Source organism: Homo sapiens, chromosome 4 (assembly GCF_000001405.40).
Source record: "Homo sapiens chromosome 4, GRCh38.p14 Primary Assembly".
NCBI classification, from domain to species: Eukaryota; Metazoa; Chordata; class Mammalia; order Primates; family Hominidae; genus Homo; species Homo sapiens.
The window spans coordinates 130,220,762-130,243,048 of record NC_000004.12 but is presented as its reverse complement, the minus strand read 5'-3'; the positions used below and the strand labels follow the sequence as shown (position 1 = coordinate 130,243,048).

At 33.4% G+C, this 22,287-nt stretch overlaps 1 annotated feature.

Annotated features, from left to right (window-relative positions):
- Window positions 20,886–21,055: an enhancer, noted in NCBI's record as "experimental_74389 CRE fragment used in MPRA reporter constructs". NCBI's record gives its function as "activates a minimal promoter by MPRAs in K562 erythroleukemia cells, with activity observed for both the introgressed and non-introgressed 4:131143234 variant alleles {active_cell/tissue: K562}" and the evidence as "EXISTENCE:reporter gene assay evidence [ECO:0000049][PMID:34662402]".

Below are 22,287 nucleotides of genomic sequence, written 5' to 3'. Positions count from 1 at the left end.
CACCTCTGACAAATTTTCTGAAGAGGACATACAAATGTTCTATAAAATTGAAAAAAATGCAAAACTATAATAGCCTTTGGAAACACACTAATTAAAACACCATATTTTTTAATGCCCACACAGATGAATGACTAAGATATAAAAAGTCAGGCAGTACTAACTGTGGCTGAGGAGATGGAGAAATTAGAATGCTCTTGTACTACTAGTAAAATGAATTTGTACAAATTTTTAGAAAGCATTTGACAACATTTACTGAAGTTTGAAACATGCATACATTATGATCCAGAAATTTACTCTTAGAATATACATGATAAAAATGTGTACATGTATTCACCCAAAAGGATTTACATCTATAATCATAGCAGAATTCTTGACAATAACCCCAAATTGAAAGCAACTCCAATGCCCACTAGCAATAGGACTGTTAAGTGTAGTACTCTATTCACAAACAAAAGGATAATATAAAGCCATTAAAATAAAATGAACAGACTTCAACTATAGGCAGTAGCATACATAATATTTTCAAACATAATGTTGAGTAACATAAATTAGAAACACACTGCATCATATCATTTATATAAAGTTTAAAAATAGACAAATATATTGTATATCGTTAAAATTCAGATACTGATTCACCTTCCAAGGGCAAGCAATTGGAAGGTGACTGGCAGAGTTCTAGTTCTCTATATGGGTTCTAGTTCCATAGAAATGTTTACTTTGTTAAAAATTATTAAACGGTACATTTATGACCTTTATATGTTTTTGTATGTTATACTTTAAAAAAACAAACACATTCAACAAAAAGAGATCCCTTATTTTACCTTTTCTAGCCACCTTCATTACTACTATTCTATATTTGCTGGACATGTTTTATGAAATAACCTTCTACTCTTTACAGTTTATTTTTGTTGTAATTATAAATGGAGATTGAGATGATGAGATCTATTCAAATGATTATATATTTATATCCTATATTCTGTTAATATGGTCAACTGATTAGCCACATTGATTGATAGCACTTAATGAAATTAGCATATGCATGCATGTATTAATAATACTATCTTTTAATTTTTTATTATTTTAATATCTTAGTTGTTTTTGATAGAATTATGCTGGCCTCATAAACATTTTGGGAAGTATAATATTGCTCTTTTTTTTTTAGTGTCAGTAAGAATTTGTATATTTTTGGCATTATTTATTTCTTAAATGTTCGCTAAAAATCATTCATTATGCCAAATGGACTTACAGGTTATTTTATAAATTTTTGTTTCTTTAATTAAGAATTGAGTTAAATTTTAATTAGTTTAGCAAATGTAGGACTATTTAGATTATATATTGATGACATTTTAATACTAATTTAACCATTTTATCTAACTTATATTTATCAGCATAAAGTAGTTTATAAAATCCTCCTGTAACCTTTAATGTCTATTACCTGCCAGGATGCTTCCTTTTTGAGTTATAATGCTAATTATTTGTTCCATAACTTTTGATGTTTTATCAATCTTGTCAGGTGTTTATATATTTTATTAATCTTACAAATCACATTTTGTTAATCTTCACTAAATATTTGTTTTGAAATTTCATATTTATGTTCTTATTTTACTGTCTTTTTCTTCTAATTTCTTTAATGTACTTTTGTTTCTAACTTTATCAGATTGATGCTTAACTTCGTTAGTTTCCCATTTTTTTCCTATGCAGTGTAAGTTACAAATTTCTGACATAGCTTTAACTATTTCCCATAAATCTTGGCATATAGTATTTTAATTATTGGGTAACTCAATATATTTGTTAATGTCTATTATAATTTTTATCTTGAGTCACGTGTTATTTATCCTGTTTAGAATATTTTGTCTTATTTTTGTCACTTTTCTATTATTGATTTTTATCTTAATTATGGTCAGAGAATTATAAAATGTCAATCTTCTGCAAATTGAAATAGCTTAACACCTCAGCATCTATTCTGAAAAATAAAATAAAATAAAACTTGGTAAAGTAAGAGCAGAAAAAGACCATCTCAGAAAATATCTATGGCAAATATACTTAAAAGTGAAATGTTGTTGAAGGTACATTGAGACATAAAAACTTAGACTGATTATCTTAGTGATAAACTCATTTTTAGGTGCTCCTCTTTCTGTCTAGTAAATTTTTGGCATCAAGATCTATTTCATCTGATACTATTATAGCTATATGTGCCTTTATTTGGTGAATATTTTTTGCCGATGTTTTTCATCCTTTTACTTGTCACCTTTTATATATTCGTATTTAAATGTGTTTTTATAAGGAACAAGTTCTTACCTACATTTTTATTCAGTCAATCCACACTTATGTTTTATTTTTAGCATATAATCCAAGTTTATTCAACATAAATCCTGATATATTTGGTTTTAAGTCCATAATCTTCCTATTGCTTTCTTCTTTTCTCATTGTATCTGTATTCCTTTATCTTTTTATAATTTTTTAAATATGTGTTTTTTAAAAACTTCATTTTCTATTTCTTTCTGTGTAATAACTATACACTATTTAATTGGTTACCCCAAGTATGGCAGCATGTATTCCTGACTCAACAAAGTCTATGGTAAATTTCTATTTTATCACTTCCTGGAGAGTGTTAGTAATCAGAATGATTTAACTTCACCATGTCCTATATAATTGTAATCATAGGCTATTTCCTTCTACTTTAATAATACGTATGTCTAATAAAATTGTTCATTAGTTTTTATTAATATTCATTCAGACTTAAATCGTTAGTATTGATTTTTTTTCTTTGTGTCTGAGCTTTCATCTGGCTTTTTCCTTTATCCTTAAGAAAATCTACGCCTTTCCTTAGTGTGTCTACTAATAAATAATTTCCTGTTTTGTGATTACCTTTATTTGCCTTTATTCTTACAGAATCTTTCATTAATTATAGAAAGCTTGTTTAGCCAATGTTAGTTCCGTTTACTGAAGATACTGTCTCATTGTTTTGGCTTATAACTTTTCCCTTTTGTTTTGAGAAGTCAGCTATCTAAATTGTTCTTCAATAGTAACATTTCTCTTTTTTTCTAATTTCCTTAGGATATTCTATTTTTCTTTATATTTCAGCAGTTTTGATGTGTTGTGTCTAGCTGTTCATTTCTTTGCATTGTTCCTCCTTGGTGAAGAGTAAATCTGATCTTTGATTTATTTTATAATTTCTGAAAAAATCTCAGTGATTATGGCTTTCGTCTTGTTTCTGTATCGTTCTTTTATGCACTTTTTCTGGGAATCAAACTTCAGTTAGAACTTTTCAGTCTATCCTTTGTATTTCTTTCATGTTTTTTATTAAATTTTTATGCTTTATTTTGAACTATTTTCTGATTTATGCTTCAATTCACTAATTCTCTCATTAGCTGTAATATTATGCTATTAAACCTATTCCTTCAGTTATTAATATTAGTTGTAGGGTACTACAGTTGAAGAATTTCAGAATTTTAAGACTCTGCCAAATATTTAATTTAAAAAAAACATAATTAGTAGTCATTTTAAAGTCTATGTTCTATATTGTCTTTGAATCAGTTTTTATTTTACTTAATTTTTCTATCATGTTGACTTGTAACCTGGTATGCCTGATTATTTTTCACCAAGGCAAAGAAATTATATATTAAATATTGTAGAAGAAATTTGAGATTTTTGATGGGTTTATGTTTTTTCACAGAGAAAATTTCTTGTAATTTCCAGTGATCCAGACACATTAGCAATCCAGCATCACCTTTAACAAGTATAGGTATCTGAAGTTAGGCTTCACCTCTTGTTGTTACTCTTAGAGATAACACTTTGCAGCCTTAAGACAGCTTCTCTTTGAAAGGCCCTGGATTCCTATTTCCATCCCCTTGCTGCCAAAAAATTGGCTTAGGTTTTCAACTTCTTGTCTACCCTTTAGAGTCTCTTGGGAAAAAGAATGACCTAAGTAGTGGGTCCCTTTTCTAGACTTTCTTCCTTGAATTTTAGCCCCATAATTTTTCACTGCTCTTTTTAATTCTCCTATGCTTTCCAGCCTGTTTTTAAACAAATATGTTATCCAAATGTGCTCGCTGTTCTCTAGCTGTGGAAGGGCTCCTTCAGCAGTATTTAGCCTGCTTTTAAAAAAGGCAGAAGTTCTGAATTTTTCTTTTCTCTAAAGCATTTATCTTCTTCTGTGATTTTTTATAATTTTTCTATTTGCTGTGGTTATTGTTTAATATCTATATCCTCAGTTAGAATAAAAAATATATATCCACAGCAAGGTCCCTATCTCTTTACTTTATTGATGTATTTCTGGTGCCTGAAACAATACCTGATATGTAGTAGTAGTCATATAATGAGTAGCTTAGTATAATTCATATAATTAGTAGCTTACTAATTATTATTCCAATAAACAAAATCCAATACATAAATAAATAAATGGAAAAATTGATTTAGATAGCAATTCTGGGTTTTCATGCATTTATTATGCTTGACCTGTTTCTGTGGTAAAAGGCTATAAATTAGAATAGATAAAATAAAATATTACTAAAAAATCAGTATCAGTGGTACACATGGTAGACAATAAATGTTGAATGAAGAAAAAGCAGGTTTACAAAGAGTAGAGAAACGTTTTTGTTTAGGTAGCACATAGCTACTTACCAAGACACTGAGTTTTTATTTCTTCTCCCCTAGGATTGTCTGGCAGGCATCACAAAGAGCTGACTCAGTAAGGAACACATTGTAGATGCCTGATAAATACTTGTTGATATTGATATTGGCACTTTGCCAATGTATAAAAGTTTGCATTTCTATCTACATAAACGCCTTACAAAACGGAATATTCATGCATTAAATACACATGTCCTTAAACAGATGAAGGCAGTTAAATGAAACTATTGTATAAAATTTATTATTCTAATATAAGTCAATGTATTGGCAAAACTGTTAACTGTGTCTATAAATTAATCTTCCTTTATCCATGCATTCATTCAATAACAGTACATTAATTTCAAATACTTGTCAGGTATCTGTCTAAATTTTAGATATAGAATGACAAAAGAAATTAAAGTCCATGTACTCAAAGTGCTTACACTGTACCATATATTTTAAGAAATAGCAGGCACTTATAATGAAAATTATATATTTAAGAGATCCAAAATGATAAAAATAGTGTCATTAGTTCAACACTTTTTAAAATGTAATTTGAAATTAGAACCTAAAGAAAGCTTTAGAAAGAAACAAAGTAGCAGTTTACATTTGATTACATGATCACTAAATATCTAGTCTGCTGTATTTCTTTCTTCATTGTTATCATGTATAACATTTTCCAAATATACCAGTCGCAGATATCTTTTCTAATGTGAATATCATGAAGAACCTGTCAAAATAAAAAGAAAAGACATTCTTTAAAATATGTTTTCCCAATTATTTTTACAAAAACATGGATAACTGAACAAGGAAAAAGGTCAAATATAAATTTAGAAAAGCATAAGCATGTGAAACCAAAATACATGACAGTACTCAATAATATAAACTGATATCCAAGCAGCACATTATTTTTCAATAGCTTTGCCATCTCAAAAATGAGATGATTTGACGAAGTGAATAGTCTCTAATATTCCTATAGCATAATAGCTAAGATTAGTAATAGTTCTCTTTAAAGGAGGAATTACTGTGTAATCAACTGTGGTTTCTGTTGCTTCCAATAGTAGACTGTTCTCTGACAGCTCTTACGTAACTGAACTCCACCCATTTTACCTTTCAATTGTTCCTGCTTTTAAAATTACTTACTTTTCAATTAAATGAATGGAAACATAGTATTATTTAATAGGTAAATAATTATTATACAAATACATATGACTCACTAATGCTGATATAGTAAATCTGAAGAGTTAACATTTGTAGCCATTTCATAATCATTCAATAAGTAGTATTTTTATTTTATCATGTAATAAGTAGTCTATGTGAAAAATTATTACAAAAGATGTGAACTCTGACTTCAAACTCAAAAGCCTCATTAGTTTGTGGTCAAGAGTTGGTTTTGCTCTAGAAAAAAAATAAAATAATTTATTCATTCAGTTGAGAAACTTTAGGTGACTTTAAGCATATTCTGATAACCCTCCCTTGTATAAAAGACTTTAGTACCTCTATTACATTTTCCATAAAAAACATTTGCCTTCAGATATCCAGCAGTATTTAATCAGTTTGCAACTTATAATACTCCTGCTTAGACTATTCAACAAAGAAAAGCTTTTTAAAAATATATTTAAATTGTAGTTTGATAAGCCTACAAGAATTTTCAACTCTGTTAAATTCCTAGAAGATCTGGCCAACCAAAATTTCTGAAAATCTGTATTGTAAGCAGACTAATTTCAGATCTGCCGAGAAAAGGAGTCTGAACGTTGAGAAATTGATGCCAAGGGTTAACCTTATGTGAATAGTGGAATGAGTAAGAAAATCAGCCTAATCTAAGATGGATCTTCCACAAGTAAAAGGAAGAAAAAAAGATACTTGTCATTTAACATTCAGTAACTACTTTTCATGTGACTAATATCAACAGGTGCTATTTATAGGAAAAGTATATCAAAGGAACCAAAACAAATTAAATCCCTAACTTCCTAAATTTTACATTCTAGCTTTTATGGGAGGAACACAGAAAAATAAATTATATAAATAAATGAGTTATATACAGTAATAAATATTGACGAGTGTTGAGGGGAAAAACACTGGCATAGAGAAAGGATATGTGTATGAAGAAGTTGTCATTTTAAAGATGGTGTACAGGAAAGTGCCCATGAAAAGTCAACATCCAAGGAAAAGGAAATCCCTGAAGAGGTGCGCGAACAAGACCACACCAATATCTAGGGGAAAATTACTGCATGCAATGAAACTAAAATGGAAGCCATTAGATTATTTTTGGCAGAATTATAATATAATTAAGATTATATTAGTATATCATCAAGGATGATGATGCATTAATGTAGATCAAAGATGGGTAATGACAAAAACAGAGAAAAAAATAGGAGGATACTGCAAAAATTTTAATGAAAAACAATTGTGCCTTGTACCAGGGTAGTAGAGGTAAGGTGGTAAAAAATTTTCAAAGTCCAAGTATTTTTTTTTAATCACGCAGAAAGAATTTGATGTGGTATATAAAAGAAAGAGTAGAGTCAAATGAAATTCTCAGAACCAAGGCTTAATACCTATAAAAATAGAGTGACCAATAACAAAACTTGGTAAAGCTTAAGAGAGTAAATTTTGTTTGTTTGTTCATTTTGTAGAAAAGCCAGAGCTTCGTTTAGGACATATTAAGATTCCTATTAATACTCCCATTAAGGTTGTTGAGTCAGACCACTGTATATATGAGACCAGATACCAGAGAAGAGGTCTAGAGAGATATATATGTTTGGGAGTTATTGGTTATAAATAACTTAAGGGTTTTCCATGAAAATTGAAGACAATATGAGGGGATTTCTTGTCAAATGAAATTATGGAGACACACTGGCTAGACTCTGAGACTATAGAAAGTTAAGAGGTCTGGGATATGAGAGGGAATGAAGGCAATAAACTGAGAAGGAGTGGCCATAGAATTAAGTGAAAACAAAACAGACTGTGGTATTCTAAGAGCCAAATGAATATAATATTTGAAGGAGAAGGGGAATAATCAACTTTAGTGCTGCTGTTCAATTAATTAAGATAAACAGTAAGATATTTCCATTGTTAAAAGTGGCTTTTCTAGAATTGTAAACATGATAGCTCACTTGATGCAGGTTGATGTGAGAACAGGAGGACAGATAATGAAGATGGGGGTATAGCAATTCTTTCAATAAAGGCAAAGGAAAAACATAGTGCAATATCTGGACAGGAAAGTGGAATCAAGAGAGTTCATTTTTTTCCCCCAAGAACATATTTGTATATTTATGAAGTTACTCTATCAACCAAAAAAGAAAAATCAGTGGTGCAGAAAAAGAGGAAAGAAAGGGGAGACATGAGTTGGCTTGAGCCATGTCCCTATGTTAGAAAAAAGGGACAAAAATTGAAGGAGGGCTGTTTCATAATAGCAAGAGAAAAAAGACAAATTATATGAAAACTTATGTAGTTAGATGAGTAGATTGTGAAACTTGTTGAAGATTTTTTCTGATTACTTTGAATTTTTCAGTAAAATAAGGAGCAAGTTTATCAGCTCAGAATAAGGAGAGGGGAAGACGTGAAAAATCACATGGAGAGGAAAAGTTAATGGCTGGAAGAATACCTTTCATGTAACATTAAAAAAAATCAATTGAAGCTGTTGTCATACATTCAACTTACAATTTATCAGCAATATTGTATTATTTCCCAGTACTATTTGATTACAAAATTACTTGTATGGGTTAGACAAAGACGATGGTTGACACAGGCTCTGGTTTAGCAAAGTAATCCATCCAGAAATTTTGCTAGTATCTCCTCTCTCCTCTACAACTTTTCTTCTCATCTAGTTTGAAAAAATGTACCTAATTTAAAAGTAGGTAACCTATACATGACAGAACAAGGATCTTCCAAACTTATTGTTTATACTTTGAGTTATCTCTAGGATTAGGCCTCAAATGTCAAAAACTTAGATTTTTAATAAACTTTTAAATCTTAGAATAGTTTTAGATTCACAAAATTTGCAAACATAGTACAGAGTTCTCACATATTTCACACAAACTTTCTCTTGTTAAAATTTGTCACTTTTGTTATAACTAATAGACAAATATTAATATATTTAATGCATAATATATTTAATATTATATAAAACCTTTAATAGATAATACAACTAAACTCTATAATTTATTCAGATTTCCTTAGTTTTCACCAAGTGTATTTGTTTCTGTTTCAGGATCCCACTCAGGAAACTATACTGCATTTAATCATCATACTTCTTCAGGCTCCCCTTGACTATGACAATTTCAGTTTTTCCCTTTTTGGTGGTCTTTTCAATTTTAAGAAGCACTTGTTCAGTATTTTGCAGAATGTTCCTCAGATGGGATTTGTCTGATATTATTCTCATGATTAGACTATGATTGTATCTTTTGGGGAGGAAAATCACAAAGGTAATATGCCATTCTTATCATAACATATCAAAGGCACAAACTATTACCAGGACTTAATAACTGTTGATGTTAGTCTTGCATCAATTGAGGTAGTGTTTATTAGTTGGCTCCACTGTAAAATTACCCTTTTTTCTTTCTTTCCATGATGTAATCTTTGGTAAAAAGTCACTATGCATAGTCCTCATTTAAGGAATGGGGAGTTATGCTCACCTTTCTTGACATCAGAATAGCTACAAAAATTTCCTTTGGCCCAGGAGATTTATTAATCTGTTCCCATTATTTATTCCATCACTTGTTTCTAATAGTTTGAGTTATAATGTAATACTGTGTCGTTTATTTTGTTGTTCACGTTTTTCTGGCTTTGGCCATTGAAAATACTTTTGGTTGGTTCTTCTTTCCCTTTGACATATAGTCATCATTGTGGGCTTTTTAGTTTCTGTTTTGGTTTGTTTTGGTTTCAGTTTTGGCTTTTGAGCACTTTCTCACTTTCTGGCACTACAAAACGCTCCAGGCTCATCTTGTATATGTCTCACCCCAACACTAGACTCAGCCATTTCTCCAAGGAACCCTGAAAAATCCAGATATTTTACATTCAAAAAGAACTTTAAATTTTTTTCTGTCCTAATATTCTTCTCTAAGGCAATGAATTTTTCTACATAAATTTCAATTAACAGAAATATATATAATATTATAAATTATCTCAACACTAATAATATGAAAAATAGTAGGAAAAGCTTCCATATATAGGGAGCCTTTTGAGACCAGATAATATTATCAGTACCTTACAAGTATTAAGTCATTTAATACCGACAACAACCATGTAAGCTAGTGTAATGGGCACTGTTAAGTGTTTTATTTCATGTAATCCCATAATAAAGCACCATGAGATAATTTATTATTATTATTTCCATTTGGAAGTTGAAGAAACTGGATCCCAGGCTCACATGGATTTTAGTTCAGGGATATGAATTCAAGTTTATCACCTTCTTAAATGCAAAATCTTAATTGTTAAAAAGAATAGTCTCCTTGGCTATATTCATGCAGGAAAAATAATCAAATTCTCTTTGTTATTTCTACTGCAAAATGATGGAATTGAATATTAACACTGAAAAGTTCTTTTTATTATAAATGCTGTAATTTAATGATTTCTTTGATTCTTCTGATGGTGTTAGATGCCTTTGTCTCTGTGTTATTTTCATATTCTGTATATATGTCTAGAAAATGATTTATCATAAGAAACCAAATTATTCCTTTACATGTCTCTTCCTACATACTTTATCTGTATAACTCAAATCATTTTCTTGTATCTATCATAGATAAGATACAAATTTTAGTTTAATGATTAAATAACTAAATGAATGAGTCAAATATCAATGATAAGATTAAAGGTCTTTATAGGCAAGGCACACACAAAGTTGTTTTTAAAAATATTAAAGATAACTAAACATAATTTCTTGTGAGGGTTCTCAGGTTATGGATAAACTCTTACTGTTAGTCTTGAAACTAGATATTTTAACAAACTTAGACATTATAAAAGAGAGAGAAATTTCTAAAAAGGTAAAAGACAACAGGCATTTCTCTTACTTTACGTCTTAAAAGCATATGTAAGATACAATACTCAAGGGGAAGGGAAATAAATGTTGCTTTCTAAGTAATAGAAATTTACATAGAGTGATTGATTCCAATTTCAACCTAATTTTACTAGCATATATTTTCAGTATAATTTATGACTACTTCATTTTGAAATACTTATTGTATGTTTAAAGGTAGATTGGTAAAGATCAGCCCAATTCTCTGTTGAACTTATCTAATGCCTGAGCTTTAATTGAGTTTATCCATCAAAGTCACATTTCATTTGGAGAATGGATGACAGACTACAGCACTTAGCAATGATGAAGGAAGGGACTTTAAATTAACTAACAATAGTGTCTTAGGACAAAACGTCTGTATTCATGGACTGCTTCAAACTTTAATTCAAAATTTTTTAAAAGTTTAACAATGAATGATCCTCAAATATTGATTAAAATTAGTATCACTATAAATTGAAGGCATATGATAGCAGGACATTTAAGCCTGGTTGTGTATATGTCCTGGCATGTCATTTTTAGAGTTGTATCAATATGTAGATAAAAATTTTAAGTCAGTAGCTTTATATATAAATTATGTTAAATTTAATATGCTTTGGTTTGCATACTTAACACACTCATTGATGGTGTTATAGTAGTTTCCCTTTATCCATCATTTAGTTTCTATCATTTCAGTTACCCACAGTCAACTTGGGTCCAAAAATATTATATGAAAAATTTCAGAAATAAAAAATCTGTAAGCTTTAAATTGAGTAACCCATGTTGTCTCACCCAGGCTACAAATCATCTCTTCGTCTAGTATATCGACTCCATATACACTACCTTCCTGTTAGTCACTTAGTAGCCATCTCAGTTAACAGATCGATTGATATCGTGTATATAGCATTTGGTACTATATCAGTTTCAGGTATCCACTTGGAGGTCTTGGAACATATTTCCCACAGATAAGGGTGGACCACTGTATAATTGTCAATGAAATTAGATGCAAAATTATTTATTTTCATAATTTAAACAAAAATAGCTTAGAGAATGAAGAAACTGAAGGAAGGAAAACATACATATTGTCTGTACTTTCTGGTTATCACTGCCCATGGCTAATGTGATTATTTCCCCAATTCTAGAATGCATAGTTAAAATAAACGTATTTGGCTAAATGACAAAATTCCTATATTTGTTGCATGATCAATGGACTAAGGGCTGTGGTGGTAGGAAAGACTGAGTAGAAGCTGCTATCTATTAAAATAATATACCAAAGCAATGTCACCTATCTGGAGAGATATCAGAGATCCGTGCCACCATCCAGGGCTTGACAAATGCAGGAGTGTTGATTATCGCCATGTAGCTATTTAACTTGGTTATTTGGCCTCTGTAGAAGACAGAAGTATTTGGAGAAAGGCAGTGTATTTACATATACTTGAAAATGTGATTTCATTGCACTTGTTGTTCTGGATGTGTGTTCTGGATGTTCTGGATGTGTGTGCATGTGTAGGTGTGTGCACAAAGATATCTGACATATGATTATTGATCTGACCAAAGCATTATTTTCTGTATTAAGACAATATGAAATAGTTTGCATTCAGCTGGAATAGCCAGCAATATACCTTTGCAGTCTTACTTAAAGGCTATCTAAATTTGCCACCTCCATGCCAAACCTAGTCTGCAAAGAATTGATCACCTTTCCCTTCCACAGAATATTACCCTGGTCCACTGATAATTTCATGGAGCTGGAACTGGGAAGAATGAAGCAACAACTACTTATATACCCTGCTAGGGCATATGTGAGCCAATTAGTAGAAAATAATTCTCATGAAAATTCAAGTGTCTGCCACCTCAGCGACATTTCTAGGAATTCAGTGATCTGAGATGTGTCAGTATACTCTAAGGTAAAGATCAAGTTGCTCCATCTGGCCCCTCTTACCACTGAGAAAAAAATATAATGACTATTGCTCTTTTGTAGAATTTAGAGGAAACATAAATCTCATGTGAATGTGCTACTCATACCCAATCACTAAGTAACCCAACAGTTTTTAGTGGAGCCCAAAACAAATAAGGGATTTTCAACAAGTCCAAAATGCCATAAAAGCTGTTCTGCTGTGATTTTCTCAATCACAAGATCTCATGGTGTTCTAAATGTTGGTAGGAGACGGAAATGTGCATAGCAGCTTCTCAGAAGTGAATTAAAGCACAGACCTTTACATTTTAGTTCATACCTATACCAGTCTCTATATACGATTATTCTCCTTTGAGAAACAGCTTTTGGCTTTCTATTGAAGTTCAACAGAAACTGAATATTTTACCATGAGCCCCTGAGACACCAAGTTGCTATGAATGAATTTATGCCAAAGCCATAAATTTGTTATGCACAATTGTTTCTATTTTCAAATGGAATATGAGAGCATGAACAATCAGGTCTTGAAAATACAAATAAGTTTAAAGAGTAGATTGCCCAGATGTCCATGACGTCTATTTCTAGTACATTGCCTTCTCTTTCCACAAATATATATGGTTTCCTGGGGAATTCCCTATAACCAGTAGTTTGTGGAAGAAATTATTCAGATTTTGTTTACAAATGGTTCTGCTAGATATTGTTTCACCACCTGAGTAAATGACTGTAGAATGACAGTTCAACTCTGAAGTGACTGTAGTGACATGAAGGAGAGTGATGAAGAAAAATCTTGTCAGTGGAAATAACTTCAAATAGTGTACTTGAACGCTCATCTTTCCTGGACACAAACAGAGCCAGAGATTTAGACCTAACTGATTCATAGCTCTAGCTAATGGTTTGGCAAGATGACCAGGGACTTGGAAGGAACAAAGTTCAATAATTAGATAATTGGAGACAAGTTAGTATAGGGAATAGGTATGCAAATAGACCTCTTCAAATGGGCCCAGAATATGAAAGTATTTGTCCCCCATATGAATGTTCACTAAAGAGTGACCTCAGCAGATGAGAATCTTAATGATCATGCAGATAAAGTGACAGTTTGGTAGATGTCAGTCAAGGTATTTTTCTAGACACCTCTGTCCCTAATCAATGAATTCATGAACAAAGTGGCCACCGCAGAAGGGATGGAGGTTCTGCTTGAGCTAAGCAACATGTATTATTGCCCACAAAGGTGGATAAAACTACAGCTGCTGCTTAGTGCCACAACAGCCAACAGCAAAAATCATACTGAGCATATAATATGACATCTTTCCCTTGGGGAATCAGCCAGCTACCTGGTTCATTTTCTTGGACCTCTTCCATACTGGAAAGGGTAGCACCTTTTCTTAATGGAATAGACAGTTTTTGTGGACATTAAATTGCCTTTTCTGCCTGCAACGCTTATGCACAAAAACACAATATATGATTTTATTGAATGCCTTACTCTTCACCATGTTATTTCATACAGCACTGCTTTCAACCAAGGAAGTTATTTTATGGCTAATTTAGTGTGCCAATGACCCATGCTCATGAAATCTACCATGTTGCCAATCACTCTTGAGCAGCTGGCATAATAGAAAGATGGAAAGATCTTTTAATAATATAGTTACAATTTCAGTTGGGCAACAAATTTCCAAGTTCAGTGATGACATTCAGGATGTCCTCTATATTGGTGACCAATGTGCAGTGCTGGTTCTCCCAAAGCCAGGTTTATGACTATAGATATTAAGGATGAAAATATGATTAGTTTCTATTACCTGTTGTGATCCAGTAGTGAATTTTTGTTTCCAGTCCCCAGAATTTTGAGTTTTGCTCATCTAATGTCCTTTGTTCCCAAAGGAAAAATGCTTACACTAGGGAAAACAAAAATGGTTCAATTAAACCGGAAGTTGTGACTGCCTATGGGAAAAAATAAAACACTCATGTCAGTGACTCAAACAGGCAAGGAAGAGGGTGTGACTCCTACTGTCTAGTCTGCGGCACATTTATCCTGTTTATTGAGGGGAGACTGGGTTGCCAACTGACAATGGGTGCAAAAAGCAGAATGTCTACATTGCAAGAGAACCACTGGAGAACCTCAGTACTCCCATATTCCATGATAAAAGCTAATAGAAACTATAATAAACTTAGTACAGACGGAATCGCAAATGGGACAGGGCATGGTTGTGAGATTTAGTAAATAAATACAGAATGTCGACTTACAATTGAATTTCAGATAAAAAACTTTTTTTAAATTTAAGTATGTCTCATGTAATATCTGACATATACAGTTGACCCTTGAGCAATACAGGTTTGAACTGTGTGGGTCTACTTATATTCAGATTTTCTTCTGCCTCTGCCACCCCTTTTATTTCTTTTTTTCTTCAGCCTACTCAATATGCACAGGAGGAGAATGAACACCTTCATCATGATCCACTTCCACCTAATGAATAATAAATGTATTTTCTCCTTTTATGACTTTCTTAATAACATTTTCTTTAGTCAAGCTTACTTTCTTGTAAGAATACAATATATAATATATGAAATATGTGTTAATTGTTTATGTTATCAGGAAGGTTTTCAGTCAACTTACATTTAAGAATAAGATGATTTTTTGTATATTTGTTTTCTTTACTTTTGATTTGAATTTTGCCTGTTACTGAGTGTGTTGTGTATGTGTATATAAAATGATGTGTTATCATTACATAGTCATATAACTACAATTATATATAACTCATTATACATCATACACATGTAGAGAGTTTAGAAATGTTCTCATTTGTAATCTTGATTTATTATCTATATCTTATTATTATGGAATTTTGTTAAATTCTATTTGTATGATTTTGATTGCCTGTTTAGTTATAACTCTAGCCCTTTATTGAATATCTGTTCCTTGACCTCATCTTTTATAATCACTCTCTTTTTATTTTATTGGTGTTCTCTCTTATTTTGAAAAATTTCAAAGTTTCTTCTCCAAGTCACTGACTATTTTGGAAGTGTCAATTCTGCTTGATAGTGCCTTAGAAATAAATTTTAATTATGCCAAGACCAGCTCAGTTGGAGAGACCGTAACCCAGCAGTGCTAGAGGAATTAAAGACACACACAGAAATATAGAGGTGTGAAGTGGGAAATCAGAGGTTTCACAGCCTTCAGAACTGAGAGCCCTGAACCGAGATTTACTCACGTATTTATTAACGGCAAGCCAGTCATTGGCATTGTTTCTATAGACATTAAATTAACTAAAAGTATCCCTTATGGGAAACGAAGTGATGGGCCAAATTAAAGGAATAGGTTGGGCTAGTTAACTGCAGCAGGAGCATGTCTTTAAGGCACAGTTCACTCATGCTATTGTTTGTGGCTTAAGAATGCCTTTAAGCGGTTTTCCACCCTGGGCGGGCCAGGTATTCCTTGCCTTCATTCCCGTAGCATGGGAGTTACGGCCATCATGAACATGTCACAATGATGCAGAGATTTTGTTTATGGCCAGTTTTGGGGCCAGTTTATGGCCAGATTTGGGGGGGCTTGTTCCCAACAAATTACTTGTTAAAAGTTTGAGTTTTCTTATATTTTCATCTTACTTCAATCACTTACCTTTCTATTTCATAGTTTATCTCCATATGGTGATTCCTTATGAATTTCCTGTCTTTGTCAACAGAGGGGTATCATATTTAATTATTTTTTGGAAATTCAAGTTGTTCCCTTAAATTTACTTAATCATTTTAGTATACCAGCAAATTTATAGTTTTGAATGTATATAGGGTTCATGTTTTCCTCAAAAGATACTAAGAAGATAGCTGAAGGTTAGATCTTATCTTTGACTTCATAGACTGCCTGTACCTTTCAAAAGCATTCCTCTTCCAACACCACTTTCTTCAGCAACTATTTCTCTCAGTGAAGCAAGAGAAATCAGAGTATAGTAGCTACTTATGGCATTTAGGTTTACACTCTACACATTTCCGTAATTCCTATAAGGCTTTATAAGTGAATTAGTTTTGTAGCTTTTGCAGAGCTGGGTAGCTGTTACTACAAATGGTCCTGTATTTTCTTTCTTTTCTTTTCTTTTTTTTTTTTGAGACAGAGTCTCGCTCTGTCACATAGGCTAGAATGCAGCAGAGTGATCTCAGCTCACTGGAACTTCTGCCTCCTGGATTCAAGCAATTATCCTGCCTCAGCCTCCCGAGTAGCTGGGATTACAGGCATGGTAATTTTTGTATTTTTAGTAAAGATGGGGTTTCACTATGTTGTCCAGGCTGGTCTCGAACTCCTGACCTCAGGTGATCCACCCACCTTGGCCTCCCAAAATGCTAGGATTACAGGTGTGAGCCACAGTGCTCCGCCCACTCTTTGGTTTTCTAAGCATATTTTAATGTTGAAATGCCTATTGAAAGCAAATATCTCAGAAGTACTTTCTTCCATGCGATAATCCTTACTTTCATTTTTGAATGGCAAAATCACTTACCATGGTCCACCACTGACAAGATTTGTTGCCTGAAGTGTAGCATCTCTTCTCAGTGTCCACTTTAATATTGTCATATTTATCCTTCCAGGTCTAATCCTGAAAAGCAGATTGATATATGCAACCTATTGTTTAATTTATGATGATTAGTTGTCAATCATCTGTGATTGGTCACAAGGGCTCCTTTAGCATCTTCCACACTACTGTGGTTATCCTGATGTGCTGGAAAGATCCACTGTAACATTCAAAATAAGAATAGTGCTGTATACAAAATACTACAGCTCCCATTGTTCATTAATCATAATGCTATTTTCATATTTATTAATCCTTAGTAGACTGTTCCTGAGTGAACATTTTAAAATGTTGTAGAATGCATCAAAGATATAGCTGCACCCTATATCTTTACTTTTTAAAGATTTTATGTGGCAAAAACTGTATTGTTGAAATGCTGTAAGAGAGGTGAACAAATGAATGCATAAATTTAGTTCTACCTGGCTCAGGAGTAGTACCCAACCTATTTCTTTTTAATTTTTTTTAATTCAACATTTGAAATTATTAAAATTTTTCACAGCTCTTTTTCAAGTATTGTAAGAATGCTTTGTCAATTGTTATTTTCATTATCTTCATTTTCTCAATTCAAATATTTTAGCATAAACGGCATGCATTATTGTAGGTAAGGAAAAAAAAAAAAACGCATTCCCAGAGAGATTGTGTTGATTTTTTTCTTATAGCTGAGTTTGTGAGCTTGTAGTAGTCCTGGGATTGTAATGTTGATGCTCTAGTCCTGGCAACCTGGCAATATTATATTTGAAATATATTATGTGAATGTTTTCTTGAGATTTTTTTCCTCATCTTTATCCAACCCTTCCCTCAGTAACAAAATTCACTCAAGCAGCTGCTAATTTTCCTGGCTAATTGCCTCAACGAAGGAGCAATTGATAGAGCAAGTAACTTAAGAATATTATCCTTGCTTTTGAGTTTCAAATGCCTTGCTCTCAAGAAAATGATTAATTCATTTAGTGGAGTGATGTAAACAAGATGTCCCGCGAAAAATCCCGAACATTTCCACAAAGACAGCTAAACAATGAATAAACAACTATATTTTAACAAAAGTAACTAAAAGAATGTTCCAGAGTATGTCCAAAGATTAACAAAATTCCTAGGTAGCACAGAAAATGAGAATAAATACATAGATAATGGAAGGAAACACTCGGACTCCATCACATCTCCCAGCCAGGATCAGCCAGGAACTAGGATTCTCTCTACAGTGTTAAGGTGAGTAAGAGGATCCAAACAACCCTTACCAATATTTTGGACACCTACGGTTCTCATCCTCAGGGTCCTTGCAGTTTTCACAGGCACTAAGCCCAGGTGAAAGAGTTCCCAGCAGTGCACACCACTGTGCTCCTGCCAGAGAGGGGGCCAACACTGTTCCCTTCCCACTGTGCTCCTTGCAGCTACTGTGATACATCATCTTCAAACCAGAACTATTTCTGGAGTGTTTCTTGCTCTAGGGGCAAGTAGCTGCAGCACTCCTTCATTTCTGAGGCTAAGTCACCACTGAACTACTCCCACCCAATGACCCCACACTCCCAAACGGAACTGCCAGCAGCTATTACACCTTTCCCTATGTGGCTAAGCAGTAGTTGAACCAGTCCACCTGCCCCTCCCTCCCTCCTTCCAGCAGGGAAGTTTTGGGAATATACATACACACTCCATCCTGGGAAAAGGGTTCTTTGGCAAAATAGCTCTATCTGTCTTTCTCAGATGTGTCTGTGCCCTGCTCCTAGAAACCTTAGCTGAAACTGCACACTGCCTTCCCAGGAAACAATGTTTGGCAAGCTCTGTATCCCAGGAAAATGGTCCCTGGACTACCCAGAATAGTCACACACCCGGGACCTGAACTGAGGTGGCATATCACCCCCTGGGAAATTGGTGCCTTGGTGGAGCTGAACAGATGCACATCCCAGGGCTGAGCTGACACTTTACTTCACGTCCTATGAAAACAGAGCAGTAGCTGCACTGAGGCACCCCACAGTACAAGACAAATAACTCTAGTATCCTGCTTCCCTGAAGCTAGACTAGCCCCCTACAGACTGACCTGGTGAGATGCCCCTCTCCCTGGGGAGTGGAGTCATCAATGTATTGCTCCCTGTCCCACAGCACCCAAACAATAGCCATGCTCAGCCACTCTAGGGTATTTGCTGTCACTTTACATGGTCTCACAGAATCTGGAACACTGCAGAGCCCCAGCACCCCAGGGTATAGAGTTCCACTATGCAGTGCCTACTATCCAGGATCTGAGGTGACACTGAGCCATATTGGCTCAGGCTCCTGAATTACAGCCATATCTTCCCTCACAGACTCAAACTTCCAAAGCACTCCTTATCTGAAATGAATCCAGGGTTGTGCCCTACCCCCAGGGCTAGAATCAGAGTTATAACCTGAATCCCTGGACTTGAGCTGCTAGAGAGTGCGTGAGAGTCACAAATTCTGGTGCTACAGTTAATTTGCACCCCAAGACCTATTTGTCACAATAGATTTGTAAGATCCTGAGCCTGGGATCCTGGGCTCATAACTGCTCTGCGCACCTATACCTACAACCCAGTGTTGTGGCAGCTGCTTTTAGGCCATGTCAGCCCTATTATCAAGAGGCATCCCTCATCCAAGTTTCCTCATTGTAAGAAAAAAGAATGGAAGGAGCCAAAAACCTCTTGCCACTGAAGACATTAACAACCTATTCTGCTACCACAAACTTCTACAGCCTAGGCCCCTGAAATGCCCATAATTATTGCTGATACAGAAACATAGCTAAATAAGCTGCATGGAGACTATACTACTGCACCTACCTGGCAACAGCCACCATACCTTTCCCAACAGAAAGACCCACTTTGCAAGTGAAAGATCCAAATTCACACTAACCTCAAATTCAGGTGAAAGTCTTTTTCTGCTAAAGCCACTCTAGAAAGTTTGGAAGAGGTGACTGTTCCACCAGATTTACAGACATCCATGCAAGAACATAGGAAACATGAAAAAGCAAGGAAATATGACAGAGTCAAAAGAATGTAATAACTCTTTAGTAATAGACCTCAATAAAAAGGAAATCAATGAATTGCAGAAAAAGGAATTCAAAACAGTAATCTTAAGGAAACTCAATGGGATACAAGAAAATACAGGCAGACAATCAACAAAATCAAGAAAACAATTTATGATGTGAATGAAAAAGTAAACAAAGAGACAGACATTATAAAAGAACCAAACAGAAATTCTGCAGCTAAAGAATCCAATGAATAAACTAAAACTACAATAGAGGGTTTCAACACCAGACTTCATCAAACAGAAGAAAACGTTTCTAAAGGTAAAGATATATGGTTTAAAATTAGTCAAAGGAAAAAACTGAGAATGAAAAAGAGAGTGAAGAAAGACTGAAAGATTTATGGGACATCGCTAAGTAAATATATTCACATTATGGGTGTTGCAAAAAGTGGTGAAATAGAAAAAGGCTTAGAAAAGCTGTTAAATGGCTGGGCACAGTGGCTCATGCCTGTAATCTCAGCACTTTGGGAGGCCGAGGTGGGTAGATCACGAGGTCAGGAGTTCAAGACCAGCCTGGCCAACATGGTGAAACCGAATCTCTGCTAAAATACAAAAATTAGCTGGGAGTAGTGGCAGGTGCCTCTAATCCCAGTTACTCGGGAGGCTGAGTCAGGAGAATTGCTTGAACCTGACGGGCAGAGGTTGCAGTGAGCCGAGATCGTACCATTGCACTCCAGCCTGGGCAATAAGAGCAAAACGTCATCTCAAAAAAAAAAGTATTTTTTTATTTATAAAATAATATTTTTAAAAAATTATATCTTTTAAAATTATTATATAATGAAATAATAGCTGAAAACATCTCCAATCTGAGGAGAGATATGAACATCCAGATTGAGAAAACTCAAATTTCTCAAAGTAGATTAAATTAAAAATCATCCTTCCTGAGGCGCGTTATAGCTAATTTTTCAAAAGACAAAGATAATTTTTAAAATAGCAAGACAAAAGCATCATGTCACATATAAAGGAATTTTTATTAGGCTAATAGCAGATTTTTAAACAGAAACTATATAGGCCAGGAGATAATAGAATGATATATTCAAAATACTGAAGGAGAAATTCCCATACAAGCAGAAACTTAAGAGATTTGTCACTAATAGACTGGCCTTTTAAGGAATGCTAATAGGAGCCCTGCATCTCAAAGTGAAAAGATGAAAATCACCATCATGAGGACATGCGAAAGTATACAACTCACTGGTAGAGCAGATATACAAAGAAGAAAGAAAAAGCAATCAAACCTTATTACTACCAAAAACCACCAAACTGCAATGATAAACAATAAGAGAAAGAAACAAACAAAGGTTATACAAAACAACCAGAAAACAATTAACAAAGTAAGAAGATAAACTACTCACCCATCAACAATAATCTTGAATGTAAATAAATTAAATTCCCCACTTAAAAGATGTAGAATGGCTAAACGGCCAAACAACATAACTGAAGCATATGCTGCCTACAAAACACTCACTTCACCTATAAAAACATATATAAACTGAAAAAAGATATTCCATACAAATGACAACCAAAAGTTAAAAGGAGTAGCTATTCTTAGATCAGATATTATGAAATCTAAGTCAAAACTATGAAAGAAAAAAGGAAATGAAAGATACTATATAACGATAAAGGGATCAATTCAATAAGAGGATATAACAATTATAAATATATATGCACCCAACACTAGAGCACCCAGATATAAAAAGAAAATATTTTTTGATCTCATGGAGTATATAGGCTCCAATGCAGGCATATTTGGGAACTTTAACACCCCAGTCTCAGCACTGATCAGATCATCTAGATAGAAACTTACAAAAGAGACATTGGATTGAAACTGCACTTTATACCAAATGAAGCGAACAAACATTTACAGAACATTACATCAAACTGCTGCAGAATGCACATTTTTTTCATCAGCACAAGGAGCATGCTCCAGGATAGACCAAATGCTAGGCCATAAAGTAAGTCTCAACAAAGTTAAAAGAAATGAAATTATAACAAGTATTTTTTTTAATTACAGTGAAATAAAACTAGAAATCACTAATAATAAGTAATTTTCAAACTGCATAAATACATGGAAATTAAACAGCATGCTCTTGAATGGTTAATGGATTAAGGAAGAAATTAATAAGAAAATTATAAAAATTTCTTCAAACAAAAAGATGTACACAACATATCAAAACCTAAGAAATACATCAAAAACAGTATTAAGGGGG